Here is a 17,731-nt window from a genome sequence, read left to right on the forward strand (position 1 = left end):
AATAGAGTTAGCAGTTCATTGATTATCGTCCTGTTATAATGCAGCAGGATGGTGCGGGCTGCTGCGGAGGCAGCGACATTCAGGAAGCAAAGCGCTTAGTTGGGTCCTGCAAGAAGAAGAGGTGGGGGAGCTGAAAGGTTTTCCTGGAGGGCAAGGGGGAGGGGAGAGTGGGGTCAGAGGAGGATCACCAAAGCAGCAGCTCTTCTTCCCTTCTCCCTGCTCCTGCCTTGGTAGACATGGAAAAGAGCTAGTCAATTTCAGCAGTTTGTCAGTTGCTGGGGCAGTCAATTCCCTGTGCCCAAAAGATTCTTTTCCTAGGTATTCATCCAGTGAAATGTTCACACGGCTCCATAAGGAGATGTGGATGAGGATGATCAGAGCAGCCTCATAGGAGGCACCCTGGGTGTCCCTCACTGGGAGAGTGGAAAGGTCAAGTGGGTGGAAGCACCAAGGGGCGCCAGGTAGCAGCAAGAAGCACTGACGCCTGTACACAGAGCCCCGCGATAGATCTCAAAAACGTAGTGCTCCGCAACAGCAAAAAATACAAATTCTCTCTACCCGCAACGACATAGGGGAGTCTCCCAGACAAGTTGAGCAAAAGAAGCAAGACATGAAAGACAGGTACGATTCCATGCAGAGGAAGTTCAAGAAAAAATTCAATGAATGGGTGGAGATGGGAGCTGGAAGAGTGGGTACCTCAGGCAGGGAAGGGGGCAGTTTATTGACTGTGAAGGGACACAAGGGAAACTTGGCTGGGGTACTGGAAATGTTCTATATTTTGATCTCGGTGATGATTACACAGATGTATATGTAGGCTAAAAATCGAGTTTCATATTTCAGATCAGTGCACATTACTCACTTTACCGTATATATGTTATACCTCAACAGGAAAGGAAAGAGCAAACAAATGTTGTAGAGGAAAAAAATTGTAGGAAACAAAATATATAACACAATGCTATTTATGTAAATAAACCCCATGCCTACGAAATAACTACCCATCCTGAAAGAACTCAGCAAACAGATTGGGTGCAGTGGCTCATGCCTATAATCCCAGCACTTTGGGATGCTGAGGTGGGGTGATCGCTTGAGCCCAGGAGTTCAAGACCAGCCTGGACAACACAGTGAGACCCCATCTCTACAAAAAAATGAAAAAAATTACAGTGGCATGTCCTTGTAGTCCCAGCAAGTTAGGAGGCTGAGGTGAGAGGATTGCTTGAGCCCATGAGGTCAAGGCTGCAGTGAACTCTGATCTCACCAGTTCACTCCAGCCTGGGTGACAGAGAAGACCCTGTCTCAAAAAAAAAAAAAAAAAAAAAGGGAATGTATGAATGAATGAAACCAAGAGCAGGGCACTACACAGACCAGTTATGACAACAGGCCATGAACGGAGAGTATGGTAGACTCAACCCTCTCCTTCCGAAGTAGAAGCTTGTAGAAAAAGTGCTAATTAATCATATCAGGAGGTCTTTGGGCTGGGTGTGGTATGTGTAGGGTGTTGGGGCATTTTGATCTGGGGAGTGAGTGTAGATTCAGTCACTGATGCCTACCAGGAGGAAAGGGAGGTACAGATCTAGCATTTGTAAACTTCTCTGCAGTTTGCAAAGCAATGCCATGTCTACCACCTCAGAGAGCCTCACATAGGGTGTTTCCTGGAGGGAGTGAACTGGAGCCAGCCCGCCTGCTACCACCCCAAGATGGGTTTCCCTGGCAGGTGATCTAACCTCTCTGCATCTGGGCCATGGGGATGATAAAAAGAATGTCTAGAGTGAGAGGGGAGTTAGAACACAGTTTAGAGAAGGGGTCAGCCACCTTTTTCTTCTCTTTTCTTTTTTGAGACAGAGTTTCGCTCCTGTCACCCAGGCTGGAGTCCAATGGTGCGATCTTGGCTCACTGCAACCTCCGCCTCCTGGGTTCAAGTGATTCTCCTGCCTCAGCCTTCGGAGTAGCTGGGATTACAGGTGCCCGCCACTGCGCCCAGCTAATTTTTGTACTTTTAGTGGAGATAGGGTTTCACTATGTTGGCCAGGCTGGTCTTGAACTCCTAACCTCAGGTGATCCACCCGCCTTAGCCTCCTAAAGTGCTGGGATTACAGGCACGACCCACTGTGCCCGGCCCAGCCACCTTTTTCTATAGAAGGTCAGGTGGTAAATATTTTAGCCTTTGAGGGCCATAAGGTCTCTGTCATACCTACTCTGGAAGCAGCCATAGATGTAAATGAATGAGCATGACTGTGTTCCAACAAAATTTTATTTATGGACACGGACATTTGAATTTCATGTAATTTTCATATGTCACAAAGTATTATTCCTTTTTTTAACTTTTAGGTTCAGGGGTACATGTGCAGGTTTGTTATATAGGTAAACTTGTGTCACGGGGTTTTGTTGTACAGATTATTTCATCACCTAGGTACTAAGCCCAGTACCCAATATTTGTTTATTTATTTATTTTTTTAGAAATAGGGTCAGCCGGGTATGGTGGCTCACGTCTGTAATCCGAACACTTTGGGAGGCCAAGGTGGGCAGATCACTTGAGGTAAGGAGTTTGAGACCAGCCTGGCCAACATGGTGAAAATCCATCTCTACTGAAAATACAAAAATTAGCCAGGTGTGGTGGCACAGGCCTATAGTGTCAGTTACTTGGGAGGCTGAGGGAGGAGAATAGCTTGAACCCGGGAGGCAGAGGTTGCGGTGAGCTGAGATCGCACCACTGCACTCCAGCCTGGGTGACAGAGCGAGACTCCGTCTCAAAGAAAAAAAAAAGAGAGAGACAGGGCCTCACTCTGTTGCCCAGACTAGAGCACAGTGGCACCATCATGCTCACTGCTGGCTGGAACTCTTGGGCTCAAGTGATCCTCCTGCCTCAGCTTCCCAAGTAGCTAGGGCTACAGGCACATGCCATCACACCTGGATAATTTTTTAATTTTTTGTTGAGACAGAGGTCTTGCTACATTGCCCAGGCTGGTCTCGACTCCTAGCCTCAAGGGATTCTCCCACCTAGGCTTCCTAAAGTGCTGGGATTACAGGTTGAGCCACCACGCCCAGCTGTGAAGTATTATTCTTTTGATTTTTTTTTTCAAACCTTTTAAAAATGTAAGAATGATTCTCAACTTGCAGGCTGTACACAAACAGGTAGGAGGCCATAACTGCTGACCCCTGGTCTAGAGGATAAATGAGTTGGAGCAGTCCTTGGCACATAGCAAGTGCTCAAGAAACCTCAGTTATTATCATTCTCACCCCTGTTGTACAGATGAGGGGCAAAGTGACTTATCCAGGTTTACCAGGGAGTTCACGGCAGAACTGGGCCTCTCATCTGGATCTCCTGAGTCTCAATCCACTTTGAACAAATGCTCAAGAAGGAAAGAGTCTAAGTTGTACATGACATCCCTTTTTCCAGGGCCCACATCTTGCAGCACAAAGTCTGGCTTCTAGAGAGACTAGAGCTCCTCTATGCTCTTGTTTCCTGCAGCAGCAGTGTGCTGAATTTCCTGATGTGGATGTCATTATGGGTCATCCAAGTGCACCTCTAGTTACATTTATATAAAGTTCAAATCCAGGCAAAGCTAATCTGTGCTATTATTATTAGAAGCCAGGAGAGTGGGCGGGGCACGGTGGCTCATGCCTATAATCCCAGCATTTTGGGAGACTGAGGCAGGCAGATCACCTGAGGTCAGGAGTTCAAGACCAGCCTGGCCTACATGGTGAGACCCTGTCTCTACAAAAGTACAAAAATTAGCTGAGCTTGATGGTGGGTGCCTGTAATCCCAGCTACTCGGGAGGCTGAGGCAGGAGAATCGCTTGAACCTGGAAGGCAGAGGTTGCAGCCAGCCGAGATCGCGCCATTGCACTCCACCCTGGGCAACAGAGCAATACTCCATCTCAAAAATAAATAAATAAATAAAGAAGCCAGGAGAGTGGTTACCTCTGGAAGGAGACACATGGAGGCTTCTGGGGTTGAGGAAACGTTCTGTCTCTTGATCTGGGAATGGACTTCGTGAAAAGGCATCAGACCTACACTGGGTACATTTCTAGGCAGATGTTCTAATCCAATAAAATGTACATAGAAGTAGCCCCAGCCGGGCGCAGTGGCTCATGCCTGTAATCCCAGCACTTTGGGAGGCCGAGGCGGGTGGATCACAAGGTCAGGAGATCGAGACCATCCTGGCTAACATGGTGAAACTCCGTCTCTACTAAAAATACACACACATACACACTCACAAAAATTAGCCGGGCATGGTGGCGCGCCTGTAGTCCCAGCTACTCGGGAGGCTGAGGCAGGAGAATGGCGTGAACTCGGGAGGCAGAGCTTGCAGTGAGCCGAGATTGAGCCACCGCACTCCAGCCTGGGCAACAGTGCAGCACTCCATCTCAAAAAAAAAAAAAAAAAAAAGAAAAAAGAAAAAGAAATAGCCCTAAAGCCATCTTGGTGAAGCAGTAAACTTTTAGTGTTCACTTTTAGTTTTAGGGACAGGAAGCAGAACTGATGTCATCCAAGCACTATTGCTGTGCTGAGCAGCAAAGGACATCACCCACAAGCCTTGCAGGTGGGACAGAAGGTCCTCTCATCCATACACATCTGGCACCTTGACATAGAAAGTGCCAGTTTTGCCGGGCGCGGTGGCTCACGCTTGTAATCCCAGCACTTTGGGAGGCCGAGGCGGGCGGATCACAAGGTCAGGAGTTCAAGATCAGCCTGACCAACATGATGAAACCCCGTCTCTACTAAAAATACAAAAATTAGCCAAGCGTGGTGATGTGCGCCTGTGATCCCAGCTACTCAGGAGGCTGAGGCAGGAGAATCGCTTGAACCAGGGAGGCGGAGGTTGCAGTGAGCCAAGATTGCGCTACTGCACTCCAGCCTGGGCGACAGAGTGAGACTCCGTCTCAAAAAAAAAAAAAAAAGAAAGTGCTAGTTTTGGTTGGCCGGGTGCAGTGGCTCATGCTTGTAATCCCAGCACTTTGGGAGGCCGAGATGGGCGGATCACTTGAGGTCAGGAGCTAAAGACCAACCTGTCCAACATGGTGAAACCCTGTCTCTACTAAAAATATTTAAAAATTAGCTGAGCATAGTGGTGCACGCCTGTAGTCCCAGCTACCTGGGAGGCTGAGGCAGGAAAATCGCTTGCACCCCGGAGATGGAAGTTGCAGTGAGCCGAGATTGCACCACTGCACTCCAGCCTGGGCGACAGAGCAAGACTCTGTCTCAAAAAAAAAAAAAAAAAAAAAGTTTGCTTCCTTGGAGCGCAGAAAATGTGTGAGTGTATGTGTGTGACAGTGTATATGTGTGGTGTGTGTGTGAGATGTTTGTGTGGTGTTTATGTGTGAGTATGCATGTGTGAGATGTGTGTGCATGTGTGAGCAACTGTGATTGAGTGTAGGGTGTATTAATGGTGTGTTTGTGGGTGGGAAGTGTGTGTGAGTGAACGTGTTAATTTTGTGTATGCATGAGTGGATGTATTTGTGAGGATATGTGTGGTGTGAGCTGTGTGTATGTACAAGTGGTTATGATTGTGTTTGTGAGAGTGAGGTGTATGAGTATGTGTCAGTATATGTATGGGTTGTATACGAGATGTGTGTGTAGATATGATGGGTGTGTGTGTACCTGTGCATGGGTATGATTGTGTATATGTGTGTATATGTATGATGTGTGAGATGTGTGTAAGTGGGTATAAGTGTGTGTGTGAGTCTGTGAGAACCACCCTAAAACAGAGCCCAGAAACTTTCCTCTCCCTTTGGAGTTGCGATTTGGGACTTTCTGGGGGCCTGTGTGGGCGCACGTGTGTAGTGTGTGGTACAGCAGAGGTGCTGGGACTCATTTCTCTGGCTCGAGTGCCTGGCAAACACTTGCTGCTGCTCCTCCAGTGAGCAGCTTTTATGTGTTTTTGTAATGCATGTCCCTTGATTGCTGCAGATTTATGCAGAGAAAACGGGTTCTGGTAACGGGCCGACCCTTTTAGCTGTTGCTCATTTGGGTGGATCTCAGGCCCTCTATTTGTTTCTGGAGGGTTTGCTGCAATTCTGTCTGAAATGTGTCAAGCTTCCTGCCTACGAGAAGACATTTATTTTATTCAGATGATTTAATTCTCTCATTCAGAGGGAACAAAACACACATTTTGCATTACAGGGGCCTGAAGGAGAGAGTGAGAAAGACAGAGGGATGCAGAAGGTTGAAATGTGGTGATTTCAGCTGGAGCTGGGAGAAGACTTCTGTCCAAGGGAACACACTTCACAACTGGGCGTAGTTATGGTGGCCCAAAGAATAAGGGCCTGTCTTTGGGACTTTTCTGTGAAAAACAACTGGTCTCGTTGGTGAGATTTGAGAAAGAACATTCCCTCCTTCCACCCTCTGTCACCCAGCTTGGCCCTTCTGGAGATCGGGCTTCCCCCAGTCTCAGTCTCCAGCAGCAGAGCCTGCCCAGTGCGATCTCCTGGCCCACCTCTGTGGGCTCCTCTCTCTCCCTCCCTTGAACTTGACTGTTTTCCTTCCAAGAACACACCACACCTCTGCATGTTTCTCTCTATTGCTTGGAACATCCTCCTTCACTCTTTTCTTTCTTTCTTTCTTTCTTTCTTTCTTTCTCTTTTTTTTTTTTTCTGAGACAGAGTCTCACACTGTCACCCAGGCTGGAATGAAATGGTGCAATCTCAACTCACTGCAACCTCTACGTCCCAGGTTCAAGCGATATCCTGCCTCGGCCTCCTGAGTAGCTGGGCTTACAGGCACCAACCACCACACCCGGCTAATTTTTATATTTTTAGTAGAAACAGGGTTTCGCCATGCTGGCCAGGCTGGTCTCGAACCCCTGACCTCAAGTGATCCGCCCACCTCGGCCTCCCAAAGTGCTGAGATTATAGGCATGAGTCACCACACCCAGCCCTCCTTCACTCTTGGCCTACTTGTTGAACCCTTATTTGTCCTTGTTATGTCCTCAGTTCATACTTTGCTTTTTATGATGTGCTTTCCCATTTCCTCTCCCTTGCAAATATCTTTTTTTTTTTTTTTTTTTTTTTGAGACAGAGTCTTGCTCTGCCGCCCAGGTTGGAGTACAGTGGCATGATGTCAGCTCACTGCAGCCTCTGCCTCCCCAATTCAAGTGATTCTTGTGCCTCAACCACCCAAATAGCTGGAATTATAGTTGTGTGCCACCACGCCTGGCTAATTTTTGTATTTTTAGTAGAGATGGGGTTTTGCCATGTTGGCCAGGCTGGTGTCAAACTCCTGGCCTCAAGTGATCCACCTGCCTCAGCCTCCCTAAGTGCTGGCATTACAGGCATGAGTCACCACGCCCAGCCATCCCTTGCAAATATCTTGACTGTGATGCTCACCACACTGAGCTATAATTCTTTGCCCATGTGTTTTTCTCCCACATTCAGCCATCAGTTTCTCTTGGGTACAGGTTGTGTCTTATTCATCTCTGAATCATCAGATCCTAGTGCAGTCCTTGCCTCGCAGGAGATACTGGCCTAGAAGCTTGCTGAATGAATGAATGAATGAATGAGCACACAATCAGGAGAATGGACAGGATGAACTGCACAGACACCCACATAGTTCCTCACCATCCCACCTCCTATGCCAGAGTCATTACACAAATATTCACTCCTGCAAACGCATACTTCTCACCCATAACTCATGGTGGCTGAACTGAATTCTAACAATTGATTCTTGTTCTGCACACATTGGCATTTTGCTTTCAGAAGAGCTCTGGTAGCTGTAGCAGTCCTTTAATTCATTTATTTATTTATTTTTATTATTTTATATATATTTTTTGAGACAGAGTTTTGCTCTTGTCACCCAGGCTGGAATGCAATGGTGCAATCTTGGCTCACAGCAACCTCTGCCTTCCGGGTTCAAGTGATTCTCCCACCTCAGCCTCCTGAGTAGCTGAGATTACAGGTGCCCACCACCATGCCCGACTAACTTTTGTATTTTTTTTTTCTTTTGAGACAGAGTCTCGCTCTGTCACCCAGGCTGGAGTGCAGTGGCGCGATCTCGGCTCACTGCAACCTCCACCTCCCGGGTTCACGCCATTCTCCTGCCTCAGCCTCCTGAGTAGCTGGGACTACAGGCGCCCGCCACCACGCCCAGCTATTTTTTTTTTTTTTTGTATTTTTAGCAGAGACAGGGTTTCACCATGTTAGCCAGGATGGTCTCGATCTCCTGACCTCGTGATCTGCCCACCTCAGCCTCCCAAAGTGCTGGGATTACAGGCGTGAGCCACCATGCCGGGCCTAATTTTTGTATTTTTAGTAGAGACAGGGTTTTGCCATGTTAGCCAGGCTGGTCTCGAATTCCTGACCTCAGGTGATCTGCCCGCCTTGGCCTCCCGAAGTGCTGGGAATACAGGCATGAGCCACTACAACCAGCCTTATTTTTATTTTTAATTATTATTATTATTATTATTATTATTTTTGAGACAGAGTTTCACTCTCTCACCCAGGCTGGAGTGCAGTGGTGCAATCTCAGCTCACTGCAAGCTCCGCCTCCCGGGTTCACCCCATTCTCCTGCCTCAGCCTCCCAAGTAGCTGGGACTACAGGCACCCGCCACCACGCCCGGCTATTTTTTTTTTTTTTTTTTGTATTTTTAGTAGAGATGGGGCTTCACCGTGTTAGCCAGGATGGTCTCGATCTCCTGACCTCGTGATCTGTCCGCCTCGGCCTCCCAAAGTGCTGAGATTACAGGCGTGAACCACCAAACCTGGCCCTATTTTTATTTTTTTGAGACAGAGTCTTGCTCTGTCGCCCAGGCTGGAGTGCACTGGCGCACTGCAACCTCCGCCTTCCAGGTTCAAGCGATTCTCCTGCCTCAGCCTCCCACATAGCTGGGATTACAGGCGTCAGCCACCACACCCAGCTAATTTTTGCATTTTTAGTAGAGACAGGGTTTCATCACATTGGCCACACTGGTTTCGAACTCCTGAGCTCAGGTGATCCACCCACCTTGGCCTCCCAAAGTGCTGGGATCTGCACCCAGCCTAATTTTTATATTTTTAGTAGAGATGGGGTTACACCTTGTTGGCCAGGCTAGTCTCGAACCCCTGATCTCAAGTGATCCACCTGCCTCAGCCTCCCCAAGTAAGCCACCGTGCCTGGCACAGCTGTCCTTTTAGACAAGGTTTACCTGAGCAGCACAGGATGAGGGAGAAAAGTGGGACTGGAGGGGCATTCCAATGTTGAACCAAGACCAAGTTGGGGGGCTTTGAGCTTTGGGGTCCTGGTCGGAAATGGGCTACTCTGAATGTGGTAATGGACTGGGGCAGGAGGGCCTGTGGTGAAAAGAGATCAGTGACTCAGAGTAGAGAAGGATCAAAGGCTGCCTACAGATGCTATCTCTATATAGATGAGTGTTCCTGCAGGCAACCAGCCACTCCTCTGCTGAACCCTCTTAGGCTCTAGTGAGACCAAATACAAGTATCTGGCACATTGAATGAATGAATGAATGAATGAATGAATGCTGTTTGACCTTGAGCAAACTATTTTACATTTCTGGGACTCACTTTTTCTCACCTGTAAGTTGTGGGGGGTTGAACTAGACACCTCCAGGGTTTCCACTGCCACGTCTCCCATCTCCCCTTTGTCAATTAGTGGTACATGCACTGCACATGCATCAATATCAAAGTATATGATATAATCATATACTTACATCAAATATGAATTTTGCCGTCTGGGCGTGGTGGTTCATGCCTATAATCCTAGCACTTTGGGAAGCCCAGGTGGGCGGATCACTTGAGGTCAGGAGTTCGAGACCAGCCTGGCCAACATGGTGAAAACCATCTATACTAAAAAAATACAAAAATTAGCCAGGCATGGTGCCACACGCCTATAATCTCAGCTACTCTGGAGGCTGAGGCAGGAGAATCACTTGAACCTGGGAGGCGGAGGTTGCAGCGAGACAAGATCACACCACTGCACTCCAGCCTGGGCAGCAGAGTGAGACTCCATCTCAAAAAAAGGAAAGGATTTTGCCTAATTCCTCTTGGTAGCCCCTTGAACTCTTAGTAGAGGAGGATGGAGACTCTGGAGTCAAACAACCCTTGGTTTAAATTTTTGAGTTTGCCATTAGCTAACTATGTGATTTAGGACAGGTTTCTTCTCTTTGCTTCTGGGCTGTCATCCACGAAGTAGGAATAATAATCATTGTGTTTATCACTCAGTTACAAGCATCAAGTGAGATAATATGTTCAAAAGAGTTTTGAAACCTGCAAACGTCACTAAGGTGTTATTTATGATTATCCCACATAGGAGGTGATCAGGAAAGGCTCACTAAATGAATGGGTGACTTTCTGGACTTGCTTCTATTTTTACTCCAGCTCTGTGAACGTCAATTCTTTAGAGTTTTTTTTTTTTTTTAAATGGACTTTAACCTAACTCTGCAGAGACCTTGAGGCAAGGCAGCCAGGAGTTCCCCATCACTTCATAAAGCTCACCACCTAAGTGCTCCAGCTTTGTCCCTCTCATAAGTCAACAGGGTGGGTGGGGGCTGGGAGGGGGAACAAAGGAGCTGTTAGCAGGTAGGAGCAAATCAGCCCATCTCTGTGCAAGTCACCACCAATAAAACTTAATCAATGCAACCCCTTTTAAGTTGGTTGGATCAGTGACCCAGAAAATAGCTCCCCTGCAGAAAAGGAAATGATAGTCAATAAACTGAGACGTCAATGGGAAAAATCTATTAAAGAGAGTGAGATATCAGGAGACCTCTGGTGTTAACGGAGACCCTTTGGAATGGAGCCATGGATCCAAGAGCAAGTTTTTAACCCTCTCGAGGCCCAGAGTAGCCTCTGCCCCAACTCAGTCGGCAGCAGAGCCTGCAGCTTCTGCAGCTTCGCTGGGCCCCTGGGTCTCCCCACACCATATTGAGGAGTACCTGCTGTCTAATTTCTTTGTGCCACTTGCCTGTTCAAACTGGTGCTTTGGGGTGCACGTGTTCCCTCCTAGGTGGTCAGCAGGTGGGGTTGGCCTGAGGCTCTGTTTGGGGTGCTGCCTAGAGATGACACCTCTCTGGCCCACAGAGAAATGAGCTGGAGGTCTCTGCCTCAGTTCCCTCCGAGTTATAACACCTGCTCTGACCTGGGTGTTGGGAGCTAGAGGTCAATGCCTTGCCCTTGACCAGGCCTCCTGACACCGTCCTGCCAGTTAGCAGGAGCCACTCCTCTAGAGTTTAAAAGGAAGCGAAACCTGTCCCCAAGAAACCGGCTGAAGATAAGGTAAAGCGCATGGCACAATAGCGTTCGCGTGGCACAGTGGCGTTCGCTTGGCCTGCACACTGCTTCAGCGACTCTTCCAGCTCGCTGTCATCAAGCAGGGCAGGGAACGAGGGACACTGTGGTGGGCTGGTGGGCTTCAGGGTAAAGCTATGTTAAACAGAAAAACTTGGGAGCACATTGGTAGGAGAGCAGCTCTTGTGATAGTGTGTGCTGGTTCTGGGAATGCTGCACAGCCTGTGCCATGCCTGTTGTCACCAGCAGCACCAGGCTGCACATACTGTGTCTGTCTGTGTCTGTGTCTGTGTGTGTAGCTGCTGAGTTTGTCTCACAGAGCCAAGGCTGCTGCTAAAGAACGTCACCAACAGACAGTGACAATGTCTTCAGTAAAGGACATTTGGACATGCTGATGCATTGCAAATAAATGTGAAAATGTTAGAGTAAGTTTAAAAGGGGGCATGTTTACATGGAATTGGGGTGAGCTTGACAGGGCCTGGCTTGGGCAGAGGGTTGCAGGGAGCAAGACTTGTGCCTTTCCTCCTTTCATTTGCTTTTGGACACAACCTTTTGCTGGTGAACTCTCTGTCCAGTGACTACATGCACCCTTTATTATTATTATTGCTATTGTTTAATCTTTGAGTTTTACAGTCTCTCTTTAGAAACGGGAGTCACAGAGCCACGGTATTTATGTCATCTAGATCAGCCGACTGTAGGGGAGATATTGACAATTTCCTGGTCTATTTGGGACAGTTCCAGGGCCCACAGGTGGGTGACTGTGCTTCAAGAAGCCACAAAGCTCACACGAATCAGCTAAGATTAGCTTAGCTAAGATTAGCTAAGCTAAGATTAGTTGATCACAGATACATATCCCCAGATAGAGGTAAAGGGCATCCTCACAGCTCCCCCCTTCCTTCTCTCCTGCTGCTGCCCGTGTTGCTTATGGGAAGTCAGCTGTTATGGGGATAGGAGTGGTTAAATGCAGTGGGGGTTGTGAAAGATGTTCTAATATGTTTGTGGGGGTTGCTTATAAGCAATTTTATGAATATATAATTTTTGGAACTGGGCTGGTCCTGTTCCTATAACACAGGAACGCACCAGGAGAATCACTTTTCCTAACAGTATGAGAACCAGATGGGTCTCTGTCTTCATTCACCCCCTCAGATTGGCCATGGACTCTGGGAGGTTGGTGGGGGGTGTTTAGTGGTAAAAGAATAAATTGACAAATATGCCCCAGACACAGGAGTCGAGTCCCTGGTTCCTCTGAGTCATGAGTTTACGCCTTTTTTAGGGTCTGGTGGTTTTTCTTTGGCATTTCAGGGAGCATTCAGAAAGCACTGATGTGCCCTAAGTCAGCATGGTGAGCCCAGAGGCTAGGGTGAGGCTTCCTCCACTCCCATCCCAGGAGTAGGGCAGGGGTGTTCCTTAGAGACCTCGCTCTCTCATCCCCTTCAACTCAGTGACCCCCTCAACTGCAGAGGCCTGTGAAGATGGAGCCTGATGTAGCTGAGGATAATGAATACTCATTCCTGGGCAGGCCGCCTGAGCTCTAGAGTTAGGGGAGCTTTCTCGGAGTTTCACGGTCATCTCGTTCTAGCTGTGTGAAACTGGGCATCACTTTACCTCTCCGAGCCTCAGTCTCCTCATCTGTAAAATGAGGGCCGATAATATCTCCCTCACAGTGTTGCTTTTAGGATCAAACAAGACAAGGTATGTATAACATATTTATCGTGGTCACTGGCACAAAAAAGGAGCTTGGAAATGGTAGGTTTTTTATTATTTATTTATTTATTTATTTATTTATTTATTTATTTATTGAGACAGAGTCTCACTCTGTCACCCAGGCTAGAGTGCAGTGGCATGATCTCGGCTAACTGCAACCTCCACCTGCTGGGTTCAAGCAATTCATTTGCCTCAGCCTCCCAAGTAGCTGAGACTACAGGCATGTGCCACCATGCCCTGCTAATTTTTGCAGGGTTTCACCATATTGGCCAGGCTGGTCTACAAACTCCTGACCTTGTGATCTGCTCGCCTCCGCCTCCCAAAGTGCTAGGATTACAGGAGTGAGCCACAGCGCTGGGCTGGAAATGGTAGTTCTTTTACTCTTCCAAGACAGGGTCTTATTTGCAAAAACGAGCATCCTATGTTACAAGCTGTGAGTGAGGGATTTTTTGAAACAGAGTCGCTCTGCTGATAGGAATGCGTGTCCGTTGTAGAACGGGGTGGGGTGGGCAGGGGGCGTGTGTCCCTTGGGCTTTGACCACAGGGTGCCAAGTCCAGAGGTCTGTCGGGAGTTGTGTGCTGCTGCCACAAGGTGGCAGTGTTGGCAAACAAACCACATCCTCCACTGCTACGAGGCCTAGATGGGAAGAATTTTACCTCCAGTTTAAATTCTTTTTAGAAAGGGAATACTTAATTCCATGATTCTACACCTTGGGAATGGAGGCCCACAGAGGGGAAGAGCTTTGCCCAATATCACAGAATGAGTTGGTGGCAGAGCTGTGCCCTTTATCTGGGACTCCTGACAGTTTATTCATGAAACACGCATTTGCCATACTGCTCTTCCCTTAGCTTCATTCACATCCTTGGCTTGGGTTTGGGGGGTAGTGGGAATTACTTGGGGGCTCCAGAGTCCTTGGTTCAGTCTTTGCATCTCTGTTTTCAGTGGAGCTAGTGGGACCCAAAAAGGTTTACATGATTACCTGAGATAAATTGTGGGATCCCAGAGTCCCCAAGATCTTGACTCTATATCCACACCTCACTTAACGGTTTATCAGTATCCTAGTGACAGAGGCGATGAGAAACCCATGATCTCCCCTCCACCACCCCCTCCCCAGCAATAGCTTGTTATTCCCTTAAGTCCAGGGTGAATGGGTGGGGTGGGCTGGGCTGGTTTGTCTGCTTAGTCCCAGGATTAGGAGGACCCCGTCTGGCTGTGTTTGTTAAGGAGGCAGCCTGAAGTGCATTTGGCTTCTGCTACATGTCAGGAACTAGGTGAGTGCTAATCTCCTGACCCTCGTTGAGTAACTGGGAGAAGATTACACCCAACTCCCAGCTGAGGACGTTGAGGCTCAGAGGGGTGAAGTAGCTCATCCAGGACTTCCTGATGCTGAGCCTCTTCTCTTAAGGAGTTGGCCCAATAGGGTGAGGAGGGATGAGATGGCCCACCTTTATGATCTGTGTCCTCAGACCAGCTTCTTTGTCCTGCCACAGAAAGCCCCCTATGAATAGAACCTTCTTTGCACAAACTCCTTGCCTCCTGCCACTTCACCCCCTCCCCATTGCAGCTTCCCACGAGTTCCTTTCCAGAGCCGTCGCTTGCTGAATGGGTTGCTAGTGGAAATGTGGTTTTCAAATTTGGGAAATCTCCATTAAGTCCTTTTATTTAAGGAGGATGTCATTATCGCGCCTCCCTGAGGACTATTACGGTTCTATTAGGCAAGGCCGCAGACTTCCTAGGTACTGTCTGGGGTCTGATTCCTGGGCAGGAAAATGCAAGACAGGAAGAAGGGGAGGGGGGTTCAGAGAGAGAACAGAGGCTGGGGAGGGGAAGCAGAAAGAAGAAAGGAGGAGAAAGAATGAAAGAGAATGCGGGAGGGAAAGAGAAAGGAGTGAGGAAGTGACAGAGGGAGAGGCAAAGAGCCCCTCACCCCCCAGGCAGAGGAGAGAGGGCAGAGGAGACCCTGGGCCACTTGGCCATCCGACAGTCTAGAGGATTTACAATGAAACTGGACGCGAGCTGCCCGGAACTGGCTTCTCTCTTTCATTAGAGACAGGGGATCCTGGGGAGTTCTTCATGCCTTCCGGCTGCCAGCCCACCTTGGGGCCTCCACGTTCAGATTTGGGAGAGGCCTCAGTGAGGGCTGGGAGGGAGGAAGAGGATGCCCAGGGAGGGTGGTTCTGGAAACTAGGTCTGAGCTCAGTTGGCCCAGAAGGGTGTTGGCCTGCCTGACCACTCTGGTGAACATAATGTTTTCCCATTCTCTGCTGCCCCCTCTAGAAGGCAAGCTCCAGAAAAGCAGACCTTCTCTCTGTTCTGTGTTCTCTCTGCTCCCAGTCACTAGAACAGTGCCAGACGCATAGTAGGTGTTCCATAAGTGTTTGTGGAGAGAATAGTAAATAATAGAAGTGGAAACAATTCCACTGCTTCCCCATCCTCTCCCTTGCTGCATTCAGAGCAAAGGTGGATGGACCTCCTCTCTGTTCTCAGTAAAGGCTTGTGACCCTTTACACACACACACACACACACACACACACCCGGGCAGGAGGGTCAGGAATCGCATGGCAAGCAGCTGACACTGGCTTGGCCAAATGAGAAAGGAAAATATATATGCCCCTCCTGGGACCTTCTTGTTAGGGGGTTACCATCTGCGGGCTGCCTGCTGGAAGTGCTTTAGCCTCTGGGCAGGAAGGCTGATGTTCTGCGACAAACATCCTGGCTGGGAAATCCCCTGGCCCGTAGGTCCCTAGGGCCTGGGCAGCCTCCTTCCACGCCATCCTGCCCTCTTCAGACCTTCCCCTGGCTCCTGGGCCTGAAGCCGGGCCACCTCTCTCTGCCTCTGAGGGGCTCCCCCGTGAGAGCTAGCCCAGTGCCCCTGGGGCGTCCCCTCCCTCGGAGCTCCTGTGCTGAAGTGATTAATGAGGCAGGGACAAAGCCTTTCTTACCAGCTGTGTCAACATGCCCCTTACCCCGCGGCCCTGCTAGCTACAGGTATGGGGAAGCAGCCCCCCACCCCCACACCACTGCCCTAGGCAATTGCCTCCTCCAAGCCTGTTTGCCCCTTACCTGGGCTCTCTTCAGGGTCCCAGGCCTCCCACTGGGCCATCAGTGTCTGATGGTGATGATGATGATGATGATTTTATGATGCTTACAGCACTTGATGTTTGCTGAGAGCATGACTCTCCTTTTTCTCAGCTCCTCTTTCCAGCTGCCTGAGCCAGGGGATCAGGTGTGGCTGTCTTTGGGTGACGGGGAGCAACTGGGCTACAGTTGCTGGGACTGATACTGCCTCCTCTGTGAAGCCTTCCCTGATCACCTCTAGCAGGCTTTGTGTCTATCCCTCTCCTCCCGTCCCTTTGTGTGTGGAGCTCGTCTGTTCCCCTCACTGCTTCCTTAAGGGAGGAGATTCCTTCTCTGGGTATGCATCTTTGTACCTCATCCCTCTTTCCCCACACCTCCATTCTCAAGACAGCCTAGCACGGTGCTTGGCGCGTGCTATGTGCTATGATAAATACTTATGGAATGAACCAATGACTTGTAGATCTGGAATGATCTGGAATTCCATGGCGTAGGTCTGTGTTGTCTGTGGTTCTGCAGACTGATTACCTTGTGTTTGATCTGTCTCAGACCTGCCCAGGACCACACATCCTGCCTCTGGCCCCAGCTGGTCTTTGTGGGGTTTCTAGTGGTTGCTGCCCAAGGAACTCTGTTGGGGAGGACGGTGACCTTGTGCTGGGGAGGACGATGACCTTGTGCTGGGGAGTGGTGAGGGTGCGGTGGGGATTCAGAAAGCTGGAAGCAGCCACATGCTTTTTTTTTTTTTTTTAATGAACATTACATTTTAGAATAATGTTAGACCTATAGAAAAGCTGCAATGATAGCACATAGTTCTCATATACCCTTTACCCAGTTTCCCCTCATGGTAACATATTATGTAACTCTGGTACTTTTGTCAAAACTGAGAAATTAACGTTGGTACATTACTAGTAATTAACTCCAGTCTTCATTTGGATTCCACCAGTTTTTCCATTAATATCTTCATTCTGTTCCAGGATCTAATCCTGGATACAGCATTGTATTTAGCCTGCATGATTTTGAAGATGGTGTTTTATGTAATATGCATGCAAGTGTTGCTCTCTTCCTTATAACCTATCCGAGTTGTTTTTAGGTAAGAATAAAGGTTCTCCCTGCCAAACATTTCAGTAAAATATTGCCACCATGTTTATTTATTGTGGCTTTTTAGACTGTGCTGCATACTGCCACATGCTCTGTGGAGGGTGAAGCACCATTTTCAAAGGACAGTCTTAGGCCGGGCATGGTGGCTCACGCCTGTAATCCTACCACTTTGGGAGGCCGAGGTGGGCAGATCACTTGAGGTCAGGAGTTCGAAACCAGCTTGGCCAACATGGTGAAACCCCGTCTCTACTGAAAAAAATGCAAAAAAATTAGTCGGGCGTGGTGGCGGGTGCCTATAATCCCAGCCACTTGGGGGGCTGAGGCAGGAGAATTGCTTGAACCCAGAAGACAGAGGTCGCAGTGAGCTGAGATCTGGAGCGCCACTGCACTCCAGCCTGAGTGACAGAGCAAGACTCCATCTCCAAAAAAAAAAAAAAAAAAAAAAGACTCTAGGCATTTTTTGTATTCACAGCAGTAAAATCTCTGATTGCAGCTCTGATTTGAGCAAGAAGTAGGGATCATTGGCTAGTGTAGGGCTGGGAAGAGCAGAGGGGCAGTGGGAAAGGATGTATATTTGGGGACGATTTGAGGGGTAGAAGGTTCTCCAGGTGGGAGGCGACATGGTGTTTGAGTTGTGAGTG

General features: G+C 48.7%; 5 annotated features.

Moving 5' to 3' along the window:
* Positions 13,310–13,604: an enhancer, noted in NCBI's record as "tiled region #2376; HepG2 Activating DNase matched - State 5:Enh, and K562 Activating DNase unmatched - State 12:CtcfO". NCBI's record gives its function as "activates a minimal TATA promoter and a strong SV40 promoter by Sharpr-MPRA in HepG2 and K562 cells {active_cell/tissue: HepG2 | K562}" and the evidence as "EXISTENCE:reporter gene assay evidence [ECO:0000049][PMID:27701403]".
* Positions 13,475–13,594: a silencer, noted in NCBI's record as "silent region_8561". NCBI's record gives its function as "represses an Ori minimal core promoter by ATAC-STARR-seq in GM12878 lymphoblastoid cells {active_cell/tissue: GM12878}" and the evidence as "EXISTENCE:reporter gene assay evidence [ECO:0000049][PMID:35858748]".
* Positions 15,668–15,717: an enhancer, noted in NCBI's record as "active region_12246". NCBI's record gives its function as "activates an Ori minimal core promoter by ATAC-STARR-seq in GM12878 lymphoblastoid cells {active_cell/tissue: GM12878}" and the evidence as "EXISTENCE:reporter gene assay evidence [ECO:0000049][PMID:35858748]".
* Positions 15,668–16,315: a biological region, named in NCBI's record as "NANOG-H3K27ac-H3K4me1 hESC enhancer GRCh37_chr17:41656377-41656994".
* Positions 15,698–16,315: an enhancer, noted in NCBI's record as "NANOG-H3K27ac-H3K4me1 hESC enhancer chr17:41656377-41656994 (GRCh37/hg19 assembly coordinates)". NCBI's record gives its function as "activates a minimal SCP1, AML or CMV promoter by ChIP-STARR-seq in naive H9 embryonic stem cells {active_cell/tissue: H9 hESC(naive)}" and the evidence as "EXISTENCE:reporter gene assay evidence [ECO:0000049][PMID:30033119]".

This window comes from Homo sapiens, chromosome 17 (genome assembly GCF_000001405.40).
Source record: "Homo sapiens chromosome 17, GRCh38.p14 Primary Assembly".
NCBI classification, from domain to species: domain Eukaryota; kingdom Metazoa; phylum Chordata; class Mammalia; order Primates; family Hominidae; genus Homo; species Homo sapiens.